The sequence below is a fragment of the Homo sapiens genome, chromosome 12 (assembly GCF_000001405.40).
Source record: "Homo sapiens chromosome 12, GRCh38.p14 Primary Assembly".
In the NCBI taxonomy this organism is placed as follows: domain Eukaryota; kingdom Metazoa; phylum Chordata; class Mammalia; order Primates; family Hominidae; genus Homo; species Homo sapiens.
Genome location: NC_000012.12, coordinates 70318726 through 70337141, shown reverse-complemented (window position 1 = coordinate 70337141; position 18416 = coordinate 70318726). Strand labels below are relative to the sequence as shown.

At 33.2% G+C, this 18416-nt stretch overlaps 1 protein-coding gene across 24 annotated transcripts in view; it reads right to left on the bottom strand.

The window, feature by feature from the left end:
- Positions 1-18416, bottom strand: part of CNOT2 (CCR4-NOT transcription complex subunit 2) — a 111976-nt gene that overhangs the window by 17852 nt on the left and 75708 nt on the right. For 19 of the 24 annotated variants that reach the window (NR_037615.2, NM_001199302.2, XM_047428882.1 and 16 more), the window contains 5 exons: positions 17778-17844; positions 7572-7719; positions 6673-6855; positions 4296-4375; positions 1579-1704 (listed from right to left, as the gene is read on the bottom strand). Coding sequence is in view for 23 of the 24 variants with exons in the window: in NM_001199302.2 (NP_001186231.1) it covers positions 1579-1704; positions 4296-4375; positions 6673-6855; positions 7572-7719; positions 17778-17844 (604 nt within the window). In the remaining variant the exon portion in view is untranslated. The remainder of the gene's footprint in view (positions 1-1578; positions 1705-4295; positions 4376-6672; positions 6856-7571; positions 7720-17777; positions 17845-18416) is intronic. The other 5 variants (XM_024448986.2, XM_006719433.5, XM_047428886.1 and 2 more) reach the window with 3 other exon arrangements.

Genomic DNA, 18416 nt, shown 5'->3' with positions numbered 1-18416 from the left:
TTAAAAATTTAATTTGATATTGGATTAATTATTAACAATTTTGGTTTAAAAGCTTGTTTTATTTAAATATTTGACTAGATATTATAAATACCAGTTAACTCTCAAATACAAATGAACAAAATAAAATTTAAAAGAATATGTCAGTATTCTACTTGAAAGCGACTTACAGAGTGAGCAAATTGCAATCAATTATAAAACAACTCCATATTATTTCAGATTTTCTTGGACTCCATGTTATAGATGTAAAACATGCAAGAACTGGGAAATAATCCTCCCACTATACTTGGCATTAGTCGGGCCCTTATTGGAGAACAATATCCAGTTTGGGGCTCCACAATTCAAGAACGATATGGAGAAACTAGAGATGGTCCAAGGAGAGCAACGGGAATGATTAAAGGGATGAAAAAATGGACCTATGAGGAAAGGTTAAAAACATTAGAGTCTGAACTGAGAATCAAGTAGCTAGGTACTCAACTTCCAGGGCAGATCATTTTTTTTTTTATTTTGGGGAGACTAATTTGGAAACTTTAGAATATAAACAATAAATGTTTCCCTTCTTCATATACTGTTATTTGTATTCATATCTGAATGGCACAGAAATCCTTCTTGGTTGAAAATGTGATCAAATATTAATTCTATCTTAAAATAATGGATGAACTGATTCTTTTAAATTCACCGTTTTGTTACTGGTCTCTATCAGGTTTTCCCAAAAGAAAAAAACTATGTGATAAAAATAGTATAGCTACATTGCTGTCACAGAATTTTCATATCTACATTGTTATATTGTTATTGCATATGTTTCCCCTCCTTTATTTCCATTTATCCCTGATTAGCCAAATTTCTTATCTATTAGAGACAGTGAAAAAGGGTGATGAAGGATATTAACGGAGACCAAGAGTCTGCATAAGCTATACATGACCCATGAGCAATGGTTTTCAACAGGGGGCAATTTTTTTTCCCCAGGTGACATCTGCCAATGTCTGAAAACATTTGTGTCTGTCACAATAGAGGCTATGGGGGTTAGAAACAGAAAGTGCTACTAGCATCTTGTAGGCCAAGGCCAGGAATATTGCTTAACATTCTGTATAAACACAATAGCCCCCCACATCTCCTCTCTACAAAGAATTACCTGGCCCAAATGTCAACAGTGTGGAGGTTGAGAAAAACCTTGGCTCAGAAAAACATCTTCAATGTATAGTCAGTCATTATTAATCACCAGGAATATATTATTTTGAAAAAATGTGTGATCAATTAAGGAGAGAAAAGGCAGACCACAAAATAAAACACTTAAGGTAAACTAAGGCAGGGATAACAGAAGAAAATAACTTCTGAATACCAATGAGGACTTCCTCTTGGGTTTTTGTACAAAGTTTTCCCATTTAACTTTGCTATCATGGTATTCTGGGAAGAAAAATCACTTCTAATATATCAATTCTGAAAAAATTACACTAACCTGATTAGAAAATGCAAACATACATGTGTACACACACAAGCATATGTATACGTACATGTAAATGTATATGTGTGTGCACATACAATGGAAACTTTCTACTGGCCATCATTAAAAAGCTTAATTACCATAAGGAGCTCTTCCAGCCAAGGGGTTTATTAATGGAGTTGGGTTACCACTTCCTTCCCTCCTGTTTCGGTCTGCTAATGCTGGGAAATCTGAAAGGTCCAATCCTGTCACATTTTCACTTCCGTCTAAATAATAAGAAAGGACACTGGTTATTGATTCTACAAATATTTTTTAAGAGATTATAAAAACCAACCATAATATAATTCGAAATGATTGCGCCTTCTTCCTAAATAATGCACGGCACTGTACTAGGTGTATGTAGGTGCTCAAAAGATACTTGCAGATTGATTTCATGTCAAAGAATTCCATGAACAATTTAGCAAAGGAATACGCAACCAGCATAATAGAAACCCCAAATCCTAGAGATGTAACAAAGAGAATAAAAAGCATATATTTCCCCCATGGAAGATGGTAACCTAAAATTATAGCTTGTGAGCTAACAAGAGGGAGATTGTTACGATATAACTTGTCTTTTCATTATGCTCAGATGGAGGTTATATCTAGAATGCTTGAAGCTTCGGTTACACACAAATGGTGACAATGATAGTGCCTCCTGCAAATGGCCAGAAAGATATAGCTGAGGCACAGGCAGTGAAGCAGAAGCCCTGAGGACTTCCACCTGTAATTGACCGCTTTCATATACAAACGTGTGTGCGTGCGCATGTGCGCATTTTGAGGGTGGGGTACAACAGGGTGGCAGTAGGGTTCCCATATATGGTAAATGGATAGGAAATATAGAAATATGATACAAAGCCCAGAAGTTTATATTACCTATTACACAGTAGGCGCTCAATAAATATATATAGAATAAATTAAATGTATTTTTGTTCATTTTAAGTTAAAACAATCAGCTGGCTTCCTTTAAAAATTAAAATTTAACCCAACTTCTCTACTTTGTCTATTTTAATCATCTCAATTTCTTAACTTTTTAGTATTCTTATAACCTTGGGTTCTTAATTTTTGAAGAAAACTTTCTACCGTCCTTTTAGCCTGCGCTATAGCTTTTAATTTTTGTTTTACCATTTTCAATTTATTTTGCCACTTCCCAATTAATTTTTAGTTTTCTCCAAATTTCACAACTGTAAGAATCTCAAACAGTAACTGTTATCTCAAGATTACTTTGTTGACAGAAAAACAATAGACACCATTAATTTATTAACATTCAAAGACAGGTGACAATTTCAAATTACAAGGGTAAAGGATAAATCATTTATACCTGGCTGTTTACAAAAACTGCAGTTTATAAATTTATTTCTGCAGCTTAAGAACTTTGAATAAAAAATTACCACTGAATAAGACAGTAGAAATTAAAAATTTATATCCTGTTTCAATTTATAATTTCTCAAATTCTTTGATTATAAATGAGTCATACATTTTGAATATATATTAACTTTTAATACATATCTTTAGGTCCTCCAAGATGGAATTTAAATTTGCCATTTATTATTTGAGACTATGTTTCAACCTAATAAAGTTAATAAACCCCCAATCTATATTTTTATGAAAGAATTGGGAATTTTCCTAGCATAAAATATGCTTAGTTAAAACAGAATTTAAAAAATAATTCTCAAGTTTTATAGCACTGTATAAAACCATAATGCAGAATCTAAGATGGCACTGTCAGACATCTTTACTGTTAATTTACATCACATTTAGAAAAAAACTACAATTAAACTATGATATGCAGATGTAGCCTGATTTCAAAGACATTAAATTATGAAGAAATGTACATTTTAGAAAGAATGGAATACAGTATTTCATACTACATCTTGAACACAAGCCACCACTTACAAATGCTAAAATTTGGAATCTTTTTTCAAAGATTTTAATCTTGTGTGATTAATCTATGCTGCTGAGCATACATTAACATTTAGAAATTAAAAGCTCATAGCTACAAATGACATTTCCTTATTAAATCTTCTCTTGCCTCTACAAATGCTCCATTTCAGTGAGCATTCTTTTACCTTCCACTTCCTTTACATTTAATCCTCTCCAATAATGCTGTTCATTTTTGCTCCTATGATCATAACATCCTTTATTTCCTTTCTCAGGAAAGGGTCTGTAGGGTGGAGAAGGTAAAACCTAAAGCAAAATAGCAACAAAGCTTCCTGTTCTCTTCTATCTGAAGCAGTTGATAAAAGAAATAAACCAAAAGACTGAAGGAATTTTTTACTGTCAAAATCAGAGTTGGTTTTCCATGTAACTAAATTTTATACATAAAACTGAATCAACAATTCATAAAGGTTAAATGCCAACATTAGTATTATTAAAACTATTAAGAAAAAACGTAAGTGTTCCATACAATTTTAAAGGTTCTCTTCAATCTGGATCTCCATAGCCAGAATGTCATACCACCCAACCTAGTCTAAGCTATAGTTCTCACAGTGACAGGGCTGAGGACAGTAAAAGCTATGAAGCAAAATATTTTGAGGCATAAATACTAACTAAGTTAATGTGTAGGCTCTCTCCAGGTGTTAAGGAAATAATCCTGATGTTATAACACAAATTACTACGTTACCATGCTAAGTAAAAAAAATTTACATCTCTCTCAACTATTCACTGTATTGAATCCTATTCCTATTTTTCACTGAATTAAAATCTACCATCTAACATAATAAAAAATCCTACCGTATTTAAAGACCAGTATGTTGAATTGCTTTATATTTCATAAATCTATCATACTTTTTGTAGGGTACTAGCTCCAGAATAAGCTTACCTGTTCCATTAAAAATGTTACTTGATAAGGAGTTATTCATTCCAAATGCCTGATTCCTGTTCATTCCAAATCCAGACATACTGGGTACATAGAAAATAGTTTTAGATATACAGTAAGAACACTAACTTTCAGATGAAGAAAAACAGAAGTGTGTATTTTTGGTCTCCATATAAAATAACAATATGTTTCAAAACCAACACTAATATTATTTTTCTGAATCTATTCTTTATCTTTACTTGAAAACTTCTCTAAAGTCCTTCCATGAACAAATGAGAACCAGAACATTTTAGGCAGATTAGTTAAAAAACAAAAACTCAAAAATTTATATATGAACCTTGAGGAAAACAGATTCAGGGCACCATTTTGTGTACTTGAAGAGCCAACTTCCTGGATACCTGAATTACCTAACCTCAAAAATATGCAGGTTAGTGTTAAGATTATTCTTGCTAAATAGTTGTTTTTCTTCTTTACTGGTAAAGCTTGCAAATATTACTTTTCATAATAGATCTTCTCTCTTACAGTATTCATCTTCCCAACTAGAATATAAACTCCTCATGGACACAGGAGTTTATGTCATACTCCTCCCATGTTAAACTCCTCTCTGTGTCTTCTGCCCTTTAGTGTTCAGGAAGACATAATAGACATTCAATAAATATGTAGTGACCTGAATTGAATGGTGCGTTTTAAAATTGAATTCAGTGCTCAAAAATACATCATTCTTATCTAAATATAGTTTACCTTTCATATACTTAAAAGAAAACACAGTCTATGGTGTCCCCAATTTTAAATTAATACACAACTGGTATTTCGTAAATAGTTACAGTTGCCTCCCTCCCTTTTTTGTACAAGACTAAGCATGTGAAGAAAAAAAAAAAAATAAGGCAGAACTTAGAGCAAGGCCAAATAATTAAGAGTGTCAACAGGAATTGTTAATGCAGATTCTATAGTGAAACCACATGTCTTTAATGTCATATATTCTTCTGATAAAAGGCACTTAGTGTATCAATGCTGTAAGCGGGGTTAATCTGTATGAAGATGACAGGGTTTTTTGGGTTTTGACTAAATCTATAAACCTATAGTGAAACAATTTTTTGATAAAACATGCAGCTGACAAAACAACAAACACTCTAGAGAAGAGCCAGAAAGTCAATGGAAATTTTTGTTTAATAGCATATTAGAATTGCTGATGCTATTACAGGTACCATCAAACATGGAATAAGTGCTCAGAGATGAAAACAATTTATAATAAATACAATCTGTCAATAGTAGAAATAAGCAGGGTTTTAGAGATCCATGTTACATTGACAATTTAAGCAAAGTGTATTTTAAAAACAAAATGTGAAAAACTATGGAAAGGTAAAAATTTATACATTCAATGCCCAATACTATGAGAACGCACAAAGATATGATAAAGTTATGATAAAGATATAAGGTTAGAAAGGTATCAAGGAGATGAGAATTTTGATAACCCTTCACAAATAAGTTTTTTAAAATTTAAAAGAGCAGTAAAATTATAGATATCTAAATAAAAGCAAAACCTGGAGTTTATGGAATGAGGATTAAACAGTAAATGTGCTAAACCTATTTTAATTCAGATTTTACTAGACAGAATAAAGTGAATCAAACAGGTATGATGATAACAACTAGATCAAGGTAGTTTTGCCCCTACATTTCTCCATTTAAAAAATACATATATATACATGTAGGCAATCAAGCTTAAATACTACTTTTGCAAGAAAGTGTTATATTTCAGACATAATTCTCATACAAATTACCCAAACAGCTTGAAAATCCTAACAAAATGAGTAACTCCTCTTATTCGCAAAGTATATGCAACAGACAGTACAAAGAGAAGTGAAAAAGTACAAAAACCCGTTTTTTTGTTTTGAATCCCTAAACATGATACGGTTTTCAAATACTATAGATGTGATCTTAAAAAGTCTTTTGTTGGTAAGTCTCCAATGCACAAAACCAAATCTTACTTGAGAAGGTACTCAAAGTATAACTAAAGCAAAGTAGTAATAGTCAAACATGTCTCCAGTTCTATTCATAAACCTAGAACTCTTACCACACAGGTAATCAACTTATTTTATAAAGAGAGGACATATCAACCAAAATTTGCCTGGTGGCGAATCCAAGAACAATCCTTTTCTAACAACCACAACAACAAAATGTTTTAATGTGCTTTCCAAAATCAACCTGATTTTCAAGAAAACGTATCGTTTTGTGATGGGTAACAGAATCTTTGGACATAAATGCATGATGAAACACACTTATTAGAGAGAAGCCACACCTCAAGAACAAAGTGAAAATATGAAAAGGCAAATCTGAGTATACCCAGAAAGACAATTATACACAGTATCAATAAACATCTTACCTGTTCACAGTAAAAGGCTGTCGAGAAGGCTGCTGCTTTGGCATACATATTATGCTTGGCGAGCTTCTGTTGGGGCTACCTAACCCTGAACTGCTCATGCTATTTGTCCTGCTAGGAATTCCAATGCCCTGACCAACCTGGGAGTGGTTCATCATATTCCTAGGATTCATAGGCAAAATACCCCTGAAAAAGAAGTCCATTATACTAAATAAGCTCTCTACAATCACTCATTAAAATTCTCTTTAAATAATCAATTGGTCCAACCCTAGAATCTCAAATATACTTTCAAATTGCAGTTCTAATTTTTATTAATTCTTTAGTCATTCTAGCTCTTTGAAAAGAAAAAGTAAACAAACAATAAAGGGCAAATTATAGTGCAACTGATAAAAGGTGGTATCTAAGATGAGAGAACTACTGGTGTGACTGTGACATAAAATATAAATGTATTTCACACACATATTTAGAATAATTTCATTTCAATGGCATATCGTTCTATCCTCTGCATACTAAATGTATAGTCTATGTCATCTGTTTTACTTTATGCTCATTAGAGCAATGGATGTGTGGCGAGGGAGCAATGATCACAATCATCTGGGGAGGAATTTTAAATTGCACATATTCCTTTGAGGAAGACAGGTGCCTTTTGAAAAAGCTCCCCAGGAAATGATTAACCCTTGATATCCACCCCACTGACAACCAGTATGCGAGCTGCAGTATAAAAACCACTTGTACTGTACTTAACAATTTGCACTGAAATAAAAAGAGCATAGGTATTTTCTTCCTCAGTGAAAGGCACTGAACCAGAAAATCAAGTAATTAATTACCTTATTAAAAAACTAAAAGTTTGTTTACTCTACCAAGATACATTTTGAAAAATATTCTGGTCCATCAATAAATACCTGCTTGGAGATGGAGGCGTGTGAAGTGACATTGTTGGTACCCCTGTTGTTGGCGTGACGTGGCTCGGTAACTGAGTGCCTTGTGATAAGCTGCGATTTAACTGAGGGGTATTGTTGCTCATCCCCCTCATTGGAAGGCCTAGTGCACCTAATAAAAAAATTCAGAAGAAGGAAATTCATTGCCATCAGGAATGAAATTGTTATCCATCTTCTGGAGTTGGCGATTTAAGACACTTTTAATGACCTAACATAGTACGCAAATTTTAAATGGATATATTCGATTCACTCCAAATAAACTCTGATTTTAACAAAAAATATGTTCCAGTCTGAAATTTAATATTATGAATGGATATTTCTTTCATATTCCTATTTTTCATATTTCAATTTCATTATGAAGTATGTAAATGACTAACAAGTTACAATATTATGAATGGATATTGCTCTAAAATTTCTTAAAGGCCTATTTGCATATATGTACATGTGTATATACAAAGAGGCCATTATGAAATTTTGCAGTAATGTGTTTTTATGTCTTTATTCACAACTAATGTATACAGAAAGACATTTAACCCCGCTTTGCTGAAGTAGCTTTAATTTTATGTGATCCTTTAAAATTATATTTTAGAAAAAGCCAATTTACTATTTATACATATTTCTCAACATTACTGTTTTTACAAACCCAACATAAAATGCCAGCAACTGTTAAAAAAAACTCAAACTGATATAGCTATAAAAGACAAAATTTTAAAACATTTAAAAAGACGTCAAAATATAATGCCCCTGTATTTATCTAGTACCCCTGGAGCCAGGTGTGGGGATGGACTATACATTCTAATAGGTTTTTTTTTTTTTAAAGACTGCTAAGAGTTTTATCATTCTCATACGAAACAAACAAACAAAACCACTGTGGATAAACTTTTTTTAGAAATGTATATTTCCTGAGTTTTTATTCAGATCATAGGAATTATAAATTTTTTAATAATCCAGGATAATTATCATAGACAGCATACGTTTATTTTTTTCCCTTTTATGCTTCAAAGTCAAGAAGTACAGCTATCACTTACACTGTTATATCTGTCTACGAATTCCTCTCCCTTTCCTCCATCTTCCTGACCCACACTTTTTAGTGCTTTCTACTTCTAGTCTGCTTCATCAACCAAACTTATTCTGAACTGGAGATTAAATAAAAGTGATAAGATAGAGTGAGAACTAATCAGTAAGTAGATGACTTCAGTGCTAGGGATTTAAGGTGATTTTATCCTTTGGCATAATAATGTTTCACCTTCTAACCTAGGGATAGGAGTGGTTAGCGAGTATCTCACTGATCGTTATCTTAAATTTGGCAGCCTGTATCTCAGCTTGTAGACTAACTGTGCCTCTCAACTGAATGAATTTTAATCCAATCAATCTAATTCAATATAACTAATATATTCCATGTATATACTTTTCACTCAGATTCCATGGAGACCTAAGCTTGGTCCTGCCTTTCTGTAAGATACTTTAAGGGAACTGGCCTAGATTACATGTACACTTTTATGTATGTCTACAGTCACCGTAAGTTTTGTGACTATGAGAATGTCACTAGCTGAAGCCACTTTCTTTGAATCTGGGACAAAATAAGGAAGAATAAGGATTAAAAATCAGCTTGCTTAAGATTTCTTCAGAAGAAATCTGTCTTTTCCCTCCCTAAAGCACACCATTTTTCTTTGAGGCTTTCTAGGTGTGCTCCTAACAAACCATCAACATACTTTTCACATCATTCATTCAACAAACATTTAATGAATGCCTACTATGTAACACGCATTGTGCTAGCTGCTGGGGATATGGCAGTGAACACAACAGAAAAGGCCCCTACCCTCAGGGAGCTTACATTCTACTCCCTAAACATGCTGTCCTGAAGTCAACTATAGCTGCAAATTTTCCTCAGGAATGTGTTTCTCACAGTTACTGACCACCAAGATAATGTCAAACAATTTTAGAGCCGGAAGGGATCTTAAAGATCACCTAGTTCAATGTTCCCATTTTACACACAGGTAAGGAACCTGAGCCTCATGTAAGTTAACTGACTTCTCCACGGCAACACAAAGAACTAGGACTAGAATTTAGATCTCTTAGCTGCTAATGCTCTTTAATAGCAGCATGACAGGAGCCCAACAGAACTCTCGATTAGCACCTCTGTGAGTGCCTACTAATTTCAACACCTCTAATGTATTTTCCCCCTGCTTTCTTTTTCCCTTTTGAATATGTTTCCCTCAACCTTTTTTCTAAATCTCCACGTCTTGCTCTCTTCCATTTTCTTTCTCTCTCATCGTCATACCTATCAGTTTTCTTTCTTCTTGTTCTACTTTTCCTTTACTTTTCACCCTCTCTACACATTCACCACCATAAACAAACATACACTTTCCAAAAATTAGTGCCCTTTTGGCCCCCTTTTAACAATCGTTAAGCCCTACAAAAGGCTCATTGAGATTTGACTCCTTCAAGTCTCCACATACATATTATTCTATGCTGTATCATAAAAATTTATCATTTCAGGAATATTTTAGAAATTGGAAGTTATCTGACCAGCAAAAAAACAAATTTGGAGAAGAAAACAAGAATGGTAAGGCTATTTGGCCAATTAGGGATTGGCATCCTTGAACTGATTTTAGTGCTAAAACTGGACAGAGACCGTATGGAATAAAGTAACTTACTTTCAGTGTTTAATTTTAGCTTTCTAAAATTAATCTTCACAAAAACAGCTAATAAATTCAAAAAGTCTAAGTTTAATTTTGTTGAAGTAGTATAAAAAGATCAAAAAAGAATATATCACTTCAAATTGGATCATCAACCCCTGAATACTTAATAATTGTTACTTTAAATTTATTTTAAAAACTGAATTTCTTTAAAACATAAAGAATGGCACTGGAAAGGTATATATAAAGATTTGTTTTTTGGAAACTAAATATACTAAGTCATTAACTTTGAGTTGCTTGAGTCAAACTAACACAACTGAATAGGGTCAAGGGGAAAAAAATCTAATCTCTCACTAGTATAATTAGAAACAATCACAGAAAAATCATCTCTAAAATATTATGCCAAGAATAGGACATACAGCTGAAAAAAAGAAAAAAAAAGAAAAATGGGAAGAACTCAAGGAGTTTTTCTTGGCATAAAAAAACTAAAACAGGCAAAAATATAAATATGTATAAATGAGCTTGTATATGAGCAGGTGACTGGAAGGACAGTAAAATTAAAATTTATTGGGCACTTATCAACAAAGCACTATACTACTTCCTCTCAATTCCTTCTTATAATCATCTTATAAAAAAGGTTATCACCTTTTTACAAAGAATAAAAACAAATTTTAAAAAAAGTTTAAAAGGTTATAATTTTGAGTCAAATTTTTCTTTCAATCTAACAATTGATAATAACAACACAATATTAGGAGGACTATACGAACACATTCTAAATAGATTCCTACCTCTTATCTGGCAGGGTGTTAGTCAAATTCCTTATTGATCATTTTTCAGAAACCCTTAAAGAATATGATCTAAGAAATTATTCCATTAATTATTTCCACTGCACAAACTGATTAACAGCACATCACTTAAACACTTATGGCAAAATACGTCATTCTTTATTCAATTTTTTGCTAGAAATAAAAAATATTAAGTTACATGAAAAAATAAAATCATAGCAACCAAATCCCTGAATATTCATACTTAAATAAAGTCCCCTAAAATCTTTATAGGGGCAGGAGAGAGTAGTCCTTAACTGATGCCTTAAAGTGTCCCCTTTTCCATTTGCAAAGCAGCCAGCTTCCTCTAGGAACTCACTGGCATGCCCATACTAAAAAGGACAACATAAATGGTGCTTTATCTCAATGGCTTCTTACCTTCAACCTGTCTTGCACTTAGCTGGTTAATGATTCCTGTAAAATTATTTCCTTATGCAATTTTCTTCATTAAATTCAAAGTATTTTAGAATAGAAAAGACTCCAGAGATTATCCAAGTAGGTTACAGATAAAGAATTCACACTAGGCATTAAGTGACTTGCTCAAGATCACAAGTAATGAGGCATTAAAGACAATGATCCAATTTCTTGACTCCTATTTCAATGCCTTTTTTGCAACCAATATCATTTTCCATTTTTTAATGGTAGTTAATAATGTTTGCATCATCCAGGGAACTTTAATGTCTAGGTCTCCTCTCCAGCAATTGTGATTTTGGGCAATCATGGCAGTGGAATTTTAAAAATTCCCCAGGTGTTTCCATGGGTGCAGTCAGGGTTGAGAACCACTGTTCTAGAGTATTAAAATTCTGTCAAGACCCAAAGATGTTTTCTAACCTTAACAAGCATTTTACTCTGTTTACACACTACATATCTGATTTATAATCTTCTTTCTTCTTTCTCTATTCCTTTCCTCAAATCTGTCCTTTACTACTCATATCTAACTCCTCAGCAAGAATACTTTCCCTTCTCTTGTTCTAGAGATATAAAAGACTACTTAAAAATAAATAAGTGCTATGACCAAGGTGTTTACATGCAGTAGACATAGCGTGCTTGACTGCTTGTAGGAGGGACCACACTAACTCAGACTTGGGAATAGAGTGAGTCTGGAAGCAGAAAAATTTTCCTGGAGGAGACAGAAGATAGTATATGAATTAAATAACATATGAGACTCAGCCAGGTGTTTGGTGGTGGCAGTGGTGGGGAGTCAGGTGGGTATAAATGTTACAATAGTTCAGTCTGAGAGAATGACGAGATATATGAAAATGAGGACAAGTTATACACCTGGCGGAGGAACAGGCTTTGCCTTCTAGGTGCTAAGAATGTATAAGACAAGAAACATGGATGGAGCTAAGTGGCTTCCACAACTATGAGAAGTGGCTGCTGTGCTCGAATCAGCTGAGAGTCTCAACATCTGGCTGGATCTTTAGAGGAGTGCCACAGAATCTTTACCTGTGGAATAGCTGTGTGGATCTCCCAAGTACACTCTACACTTCCTCAACCTAAATTTCTGCTCTAGATTAGTGGCACTCATTCACAAAGGTTTGCAGGTCGGAAACCTTAGAAATCATTCTTGATCCCTTTCTTTCACTCCTACATCATCAAGTCCTGTTAGCTCTATCTACAAAATGTACCAAATCTGATCACTTCTCAACACCTCCACTAGTCCAAGTCATCCCATTTTTTTTTGCCTGGACTACTGCAGTATTACTAACATTCTCTCTCTCTCTCTCCATAAAAACAGGACATTTGTTATTTGCTATATTCTTATCTATATCTTGAAATAATACCTCATTCATTGTAGGCACCCAATAAATACATAATTATTAGAATGAATACATTCTATCACAATGTCTTAATTCAACAGATTCTTGGCACCTGTGGATTTAACACTGGTAGTTTCTACTATGTACAAATGGCTTTCTAGGGTCATGGCATTCAGGTATCAAAGAAACTGATGTTTTCAGCTCATGTTCACATAGTTACTCTTACAAAGTAATATAATCCTGGTTCTACTACTTACAATCTGTGTAACCTTGAACAAATTCCTTAAACTCTTGTGGAGCTGCTGTGAAGGTTAAATGAGTTAATTCACATAAATACTTAAAATCGCATCTGATACACAGTAGATAATATTCAATAAATATTAGCTCTGTGTGTGTGTGTGTGCGTGTGTCATACTTATGAAAAGAAAGCCAACAGGTGGTACCAAAAGTGAAGATAAAATAAGATAGTCTAATCAAGTGATGGTTTTCACACACACAAAAAGGATGTTTTATGGTGGAAAATGTTATTCTATAGCTGTGTTCTTGAACTTTAAAAGTAGCAATGATCTTGAAATAAATCTCTCAGAAATGTGAAGACTGTACTTCTTGCTGAAATCAATATAACAGCCTAACAGGTGTCTCCTGTCTTGATAAAGTAGGCCATTCCTAAATCTATCCCATGCTGTGGATGTTATTCCCACTGCTAAAACAACTTTACTCACAGTCTGTTCAATGCTAATCTCAAATATAATCTCATCAGTAAATTCTTTTCCTAATCATTTTCCAAGATACCTGATTACTCCTGTCTTTGAAATATCCAAATAGTCTACAGCCGTACCATCCTGAATGTGCCCTATCTCATCTGAAACATCCAAATAACCTCGAACTTCTTATTCTACTACATAGTAAAATCATTTGTGTACTTATCCTACTAGATTATATGAGACTGCTTCTTGTTCATCATGCATTCAAGATTTACTGAGTGCTTGTCATATGCGAGGTACAGAGGATACAAAGGCAATGAGGACATGCAATAAATAATGCAGCAACACCATAGCAGTAGGTACACTATGCAGAGATGGCATAAATGAGGATGATCTCTTCTACCACACATCTGCAGTATCTAGAATGGCACAACATGTATGGTAGGGACCCATAAGTATTTGTCAACTTTAATTCCTACCTGCTTTTTGAAGTTTTTCCATACCACTATAGCTTCCCTTTTTTTTTGGTTCTCCTCAAGGAGAATGGTATAGACAGAATTTGCTCCCTAAAAGTCTGTCTACACCATTCTGCACATGGTATCTTTTAATCTATGTGTTAGCATCACAGGCTGTTATTTAATATTTTACATATAAATATGTCCTATCTTCCCCAACTATAAAACATGTGTTCAAAAGAGCAAGAAATCCTAGAGCACTCTGTACTTATTACTAAGCATTTAGTATCTGTTCAATGGTCCTACAATTTCCGAAAGCAACCAAAATATGTCATGCACCTATTTACATAGCTGATAGCATCACTTCTGAACCACCCCACCTGTGCTCTGGGTTCTCTATGAAACAAGTAGCTTTCACATAGGTGTTCTTAAAGCAGGAGGCCAAAGAAATGTCTGCTGGAAGCATGAGACTATGTCATTGTTCTCAAGCTAGGAGTCCAGAACTTAGAAATTCTGACAGATTTAGCTCTTCTTCCATCTAGATGCCTGGGTCCTCTGAGAATTCAGACACAAATTTGTATAATGAATTCACCCAGATATTTTGCTAAGCTAGGTGCCTATAAGATAATATGCACACAGAAAGCACTCAGTAAATGACAGTTTCCTTTTTCTCCAATCTTACAAGGTCCTAGATCCTGTTGGTAACTAAGAAAAGGTAAATGCAACTATCAACCACTTAATTCCAATGCTTTGACTATCCAGGAGAAATTAATTCCTGGTTCCCTGTTGATTCTAATCTAGGAGACAGCTTAAGGGAGCTCATGGGTCTTGAAGCTTATAAGGTGTACAGTAAGTCTTCACTTAATGCCACTGATCATTCTTGGAAACTGTGATTTCAGGCAAAAATACATACAGCAGGTCCTTGAATAGTGTTGTTTCATTCAACTTCATTCCATTGTAATGTTGATGAGAACAAAAAATTGGTTTTGTTATATGTAGTTTTGCTTCAAGTCGCAGTTTCAAAAAACTTATGTTAAGTGAGGACTTAATTCACCTGAAAGCTTATCACACACTCAAATATAACAAATAGGAAACATTATGCAACTTGAATACAAGAGTATGTTCATTGGTTTCTATAGTTATCATTCCATGTACAGTATTCACGTGAATTATTGGATGAAAAGTCCAATTATTTACATATTTGGATACAATCATACTATACTAGAACTGAAGACCATACAGGTCTCTGTTCCAGCATTTTCTGGCTACCTCATGGCACTGCATAATCACTTCCACCCAAATCTAGCCAAATCTAAGTTTAAGCACTTCTGTATCTATTCCAAGACAAACTCCCTTTCTTGTTTAATCTCAGTGACTCTTACTTCTAGAGAGGGCACTCTTCCTTCTATATCTCTTCCACCTCTAACCTTTCTAACCATCAAGAACATACAATAGATAGTAGATCTCACATTTTTAATGGCACAAATTACAATAAAAGTTTGCCAACTGAACAGAATTAATAGTGGTACTCAATGCACTTGGGAAACGAACTTTTAGTTACACCAATCTCAATGTGCAATTACAGTAAGTTGCCATAAGAATAATATCTCTAATCTACACTCACCTACTAATTCCTTATCTCTCCATCCTTCATTTAACTCAGTTCCTTAAGTTTTGTCATTCTGACTTAAATTATTAAAACCTTAACCCTCAAGACCCACATGGTAGCTTGTGTTCTGCTGTCTGACAAGGTGTTTGTTCAGATTACCTACCAGCTGAATGACCTATTTGGCCTTCTCGGGTCTGTCCTAACAGATAGAAATTGGCAACCTAGACTCTTTCTTTTTCCACTAGTTATAGCTTCTAGATCGATATCTTGGAAAAACATAATTACACCCTGACCTGAAACATTACAGTTCCAGTTGATCTAAGATTCAATTTTTCTGTACTCTATCTAACACTTAAAATGTCATTTTAAAAGAGTAAGCCATACATTCAAAATGTTGCTTCACCAATGTTACAGGAATATAGTTATTTAATATACTGAACTCCAATGGAAAATGTTTGCCATACATGGCTTCTTTTTAAACTAGTAAGTACCTTAAAAATTCTTTTTCTAATGAAAATAAATTTTCTCATGTATTAATCTTTGTATGTCCTTAAAAACAAAAACATAAATGTCTGTCATACCAATGATATAACTGCATTTTAAACATAACCCATTCCATATCTTAGCCCAGTTAGAATTTCAGATTTGTAGGCTAAAAAAATTAGACCAGAATTTTAAAAAATCCAGATAGCTGATTATAAGTATAGTAATTGCCATTATCCTTTACAAAATAACCTTAGTTTCTCAAATACAATTTTTCTCCAATCCATATCTACTTTCTGCTGTGATAAACGGTGGTCTTCCAAAAGGTAAAGTAAGTTCTTTGCAGTTGCTCTGAAGAAATAAAAGGTAGCTTTAAAATAGCTAGATATTTCTATAGTAAGGGTTACCAGAAGGGTGAAAGCCACACTAAAACACAGGGTAAGCAGAATAAATTACTAGCTAATAATAGTCCTTCAACAACTAGGATAAATATTTGTAGATAAACAATTTTTTTATGTAATAAGCTTTGGAAATACGTTTCTTGGTTTAATTGGAGAAACTGTTAATACAGAATAACTTTTATCTACTAATTCTATATTAACAAAATTGTGTTCCATAGCAAAAAAGAGAAAAGCCACAAAAGATAGACAGAAAAAAGTAAATGGAAACCATGCTTGTATACAAAATTAGTTTCATCCTCCCACTTCGAATCAATTTGGAAGGTAAAGTGTTATGACAAACTATTCTGATACCTGTCAAAACTTTGCTTTTCATTATACTGGGAGAGTTCCAAATCAAATTATTGATTTTTACTTGAAACTGGTTAGGATAGTCATCAGATGTCTTCTTCAGTTATTCAATTATCCTATAATGTCTGATGGGAATTTATAACACTTTTAATTCCCTTCTTCTATTAACAGAGATTACATTAACAGAAATGGGAGATCAACAGATCTGACATTAACAGAGATGATAAAATCATACTAATATTTAACAATTTGGGAAGTTAATTTGAGAAAATATAAAGATATTTTATTGTTTAGTTTTATAAAAATTTTATGTGATAATAGCTAACATTTATTGAGCACTTACTATGCACTAGGCTCTGTGCTAAGCGCTTTAAAAGTATTACAACACTTTAAAAAAATAGAAGTAGAAGCCTGCAAAACGGAACAAGCATTAAACCGTGAGTCAAAAATCTAGATTCTATATCCAGACTGAGCTAAAGCAAAAGAAGAAATATTTAAGAAATACTTGTGAAACAAAGAACATTTTACAAACTGCTAAGTAATGAGTTTACTTAATAAACAGGCGTGCACATACACACACACACACACACAGAGTAGCCAGTCAAATAAACTAAAAAAGCTTTTAACTTCCTTTAATTGAAAACACAGAGAATGTCTATTTTTAGTTTAGCAAATTCTTCAAAAATACTGCAAAAAATTTACAGATGTAAAAGATGTTGAAATAAATTTCAATCTATGCTATATCCAAGTAATAGCAACCATAGGATCAATAAGGTCTGAAATAATGAGGTTTTGCTATGTAAGTAAAATAAAACTCTGAAAATTAAACATTTTTCCTTTTAAGTCATACAATAAACCCACAAAGGAAGTACTGGTTGTTCTTTATTTGGTAGTTACTTATTTTTCTCTTTAAATAAAGTATCCCAGAATAAATACAAAATTCTTACTTTGTTGCCCGTATAAACTTGCCCCAAACTGAGACAGCTGACCTGATGTAGATGGTGATGCCAGCATCTAGAAACAAATTAATTATATTAGAGCATAAAGAAAACAGAGCAGAGCATTGCATTTACACTCCACAAATCTGTAAATCATACCATAAATGTGAAAATCTAACATTTTCTCATTCTTCAGAAAAACATAAAACAAACATTCTATAATATATTCCATGTTTCTTAAGAGAATATCACAATTCGATAAAACCAAACTGTAGAAATGAAATTAATTTTTAATACTATAAGTTTTCTAAAAGTCACACTAACTTGAGTTACAGCAGCACTACTCTTTCACTTAGCAAGTTAAAAAAATAAAATTATATAGACATGGTATATAATTTATGTATTTGTGATGTGAACTTCATGGCACTTGTACAATGCCTTTGAATTTATCCATTTTTTTTTCCTTGTAGATGTAAATTATTTGAAGATATGTTCACAGAACATACATTCATTATATATATCCTCATAGAAATGAATGTAGCAGTGTTATATACTCAAAAGTAAATACTGAAGCTGAGTAAATGAAAATATGTGTGTGTGCATATTTGCGTATTTCCTGTCTTATATTAGACAACCATCAAAACATCC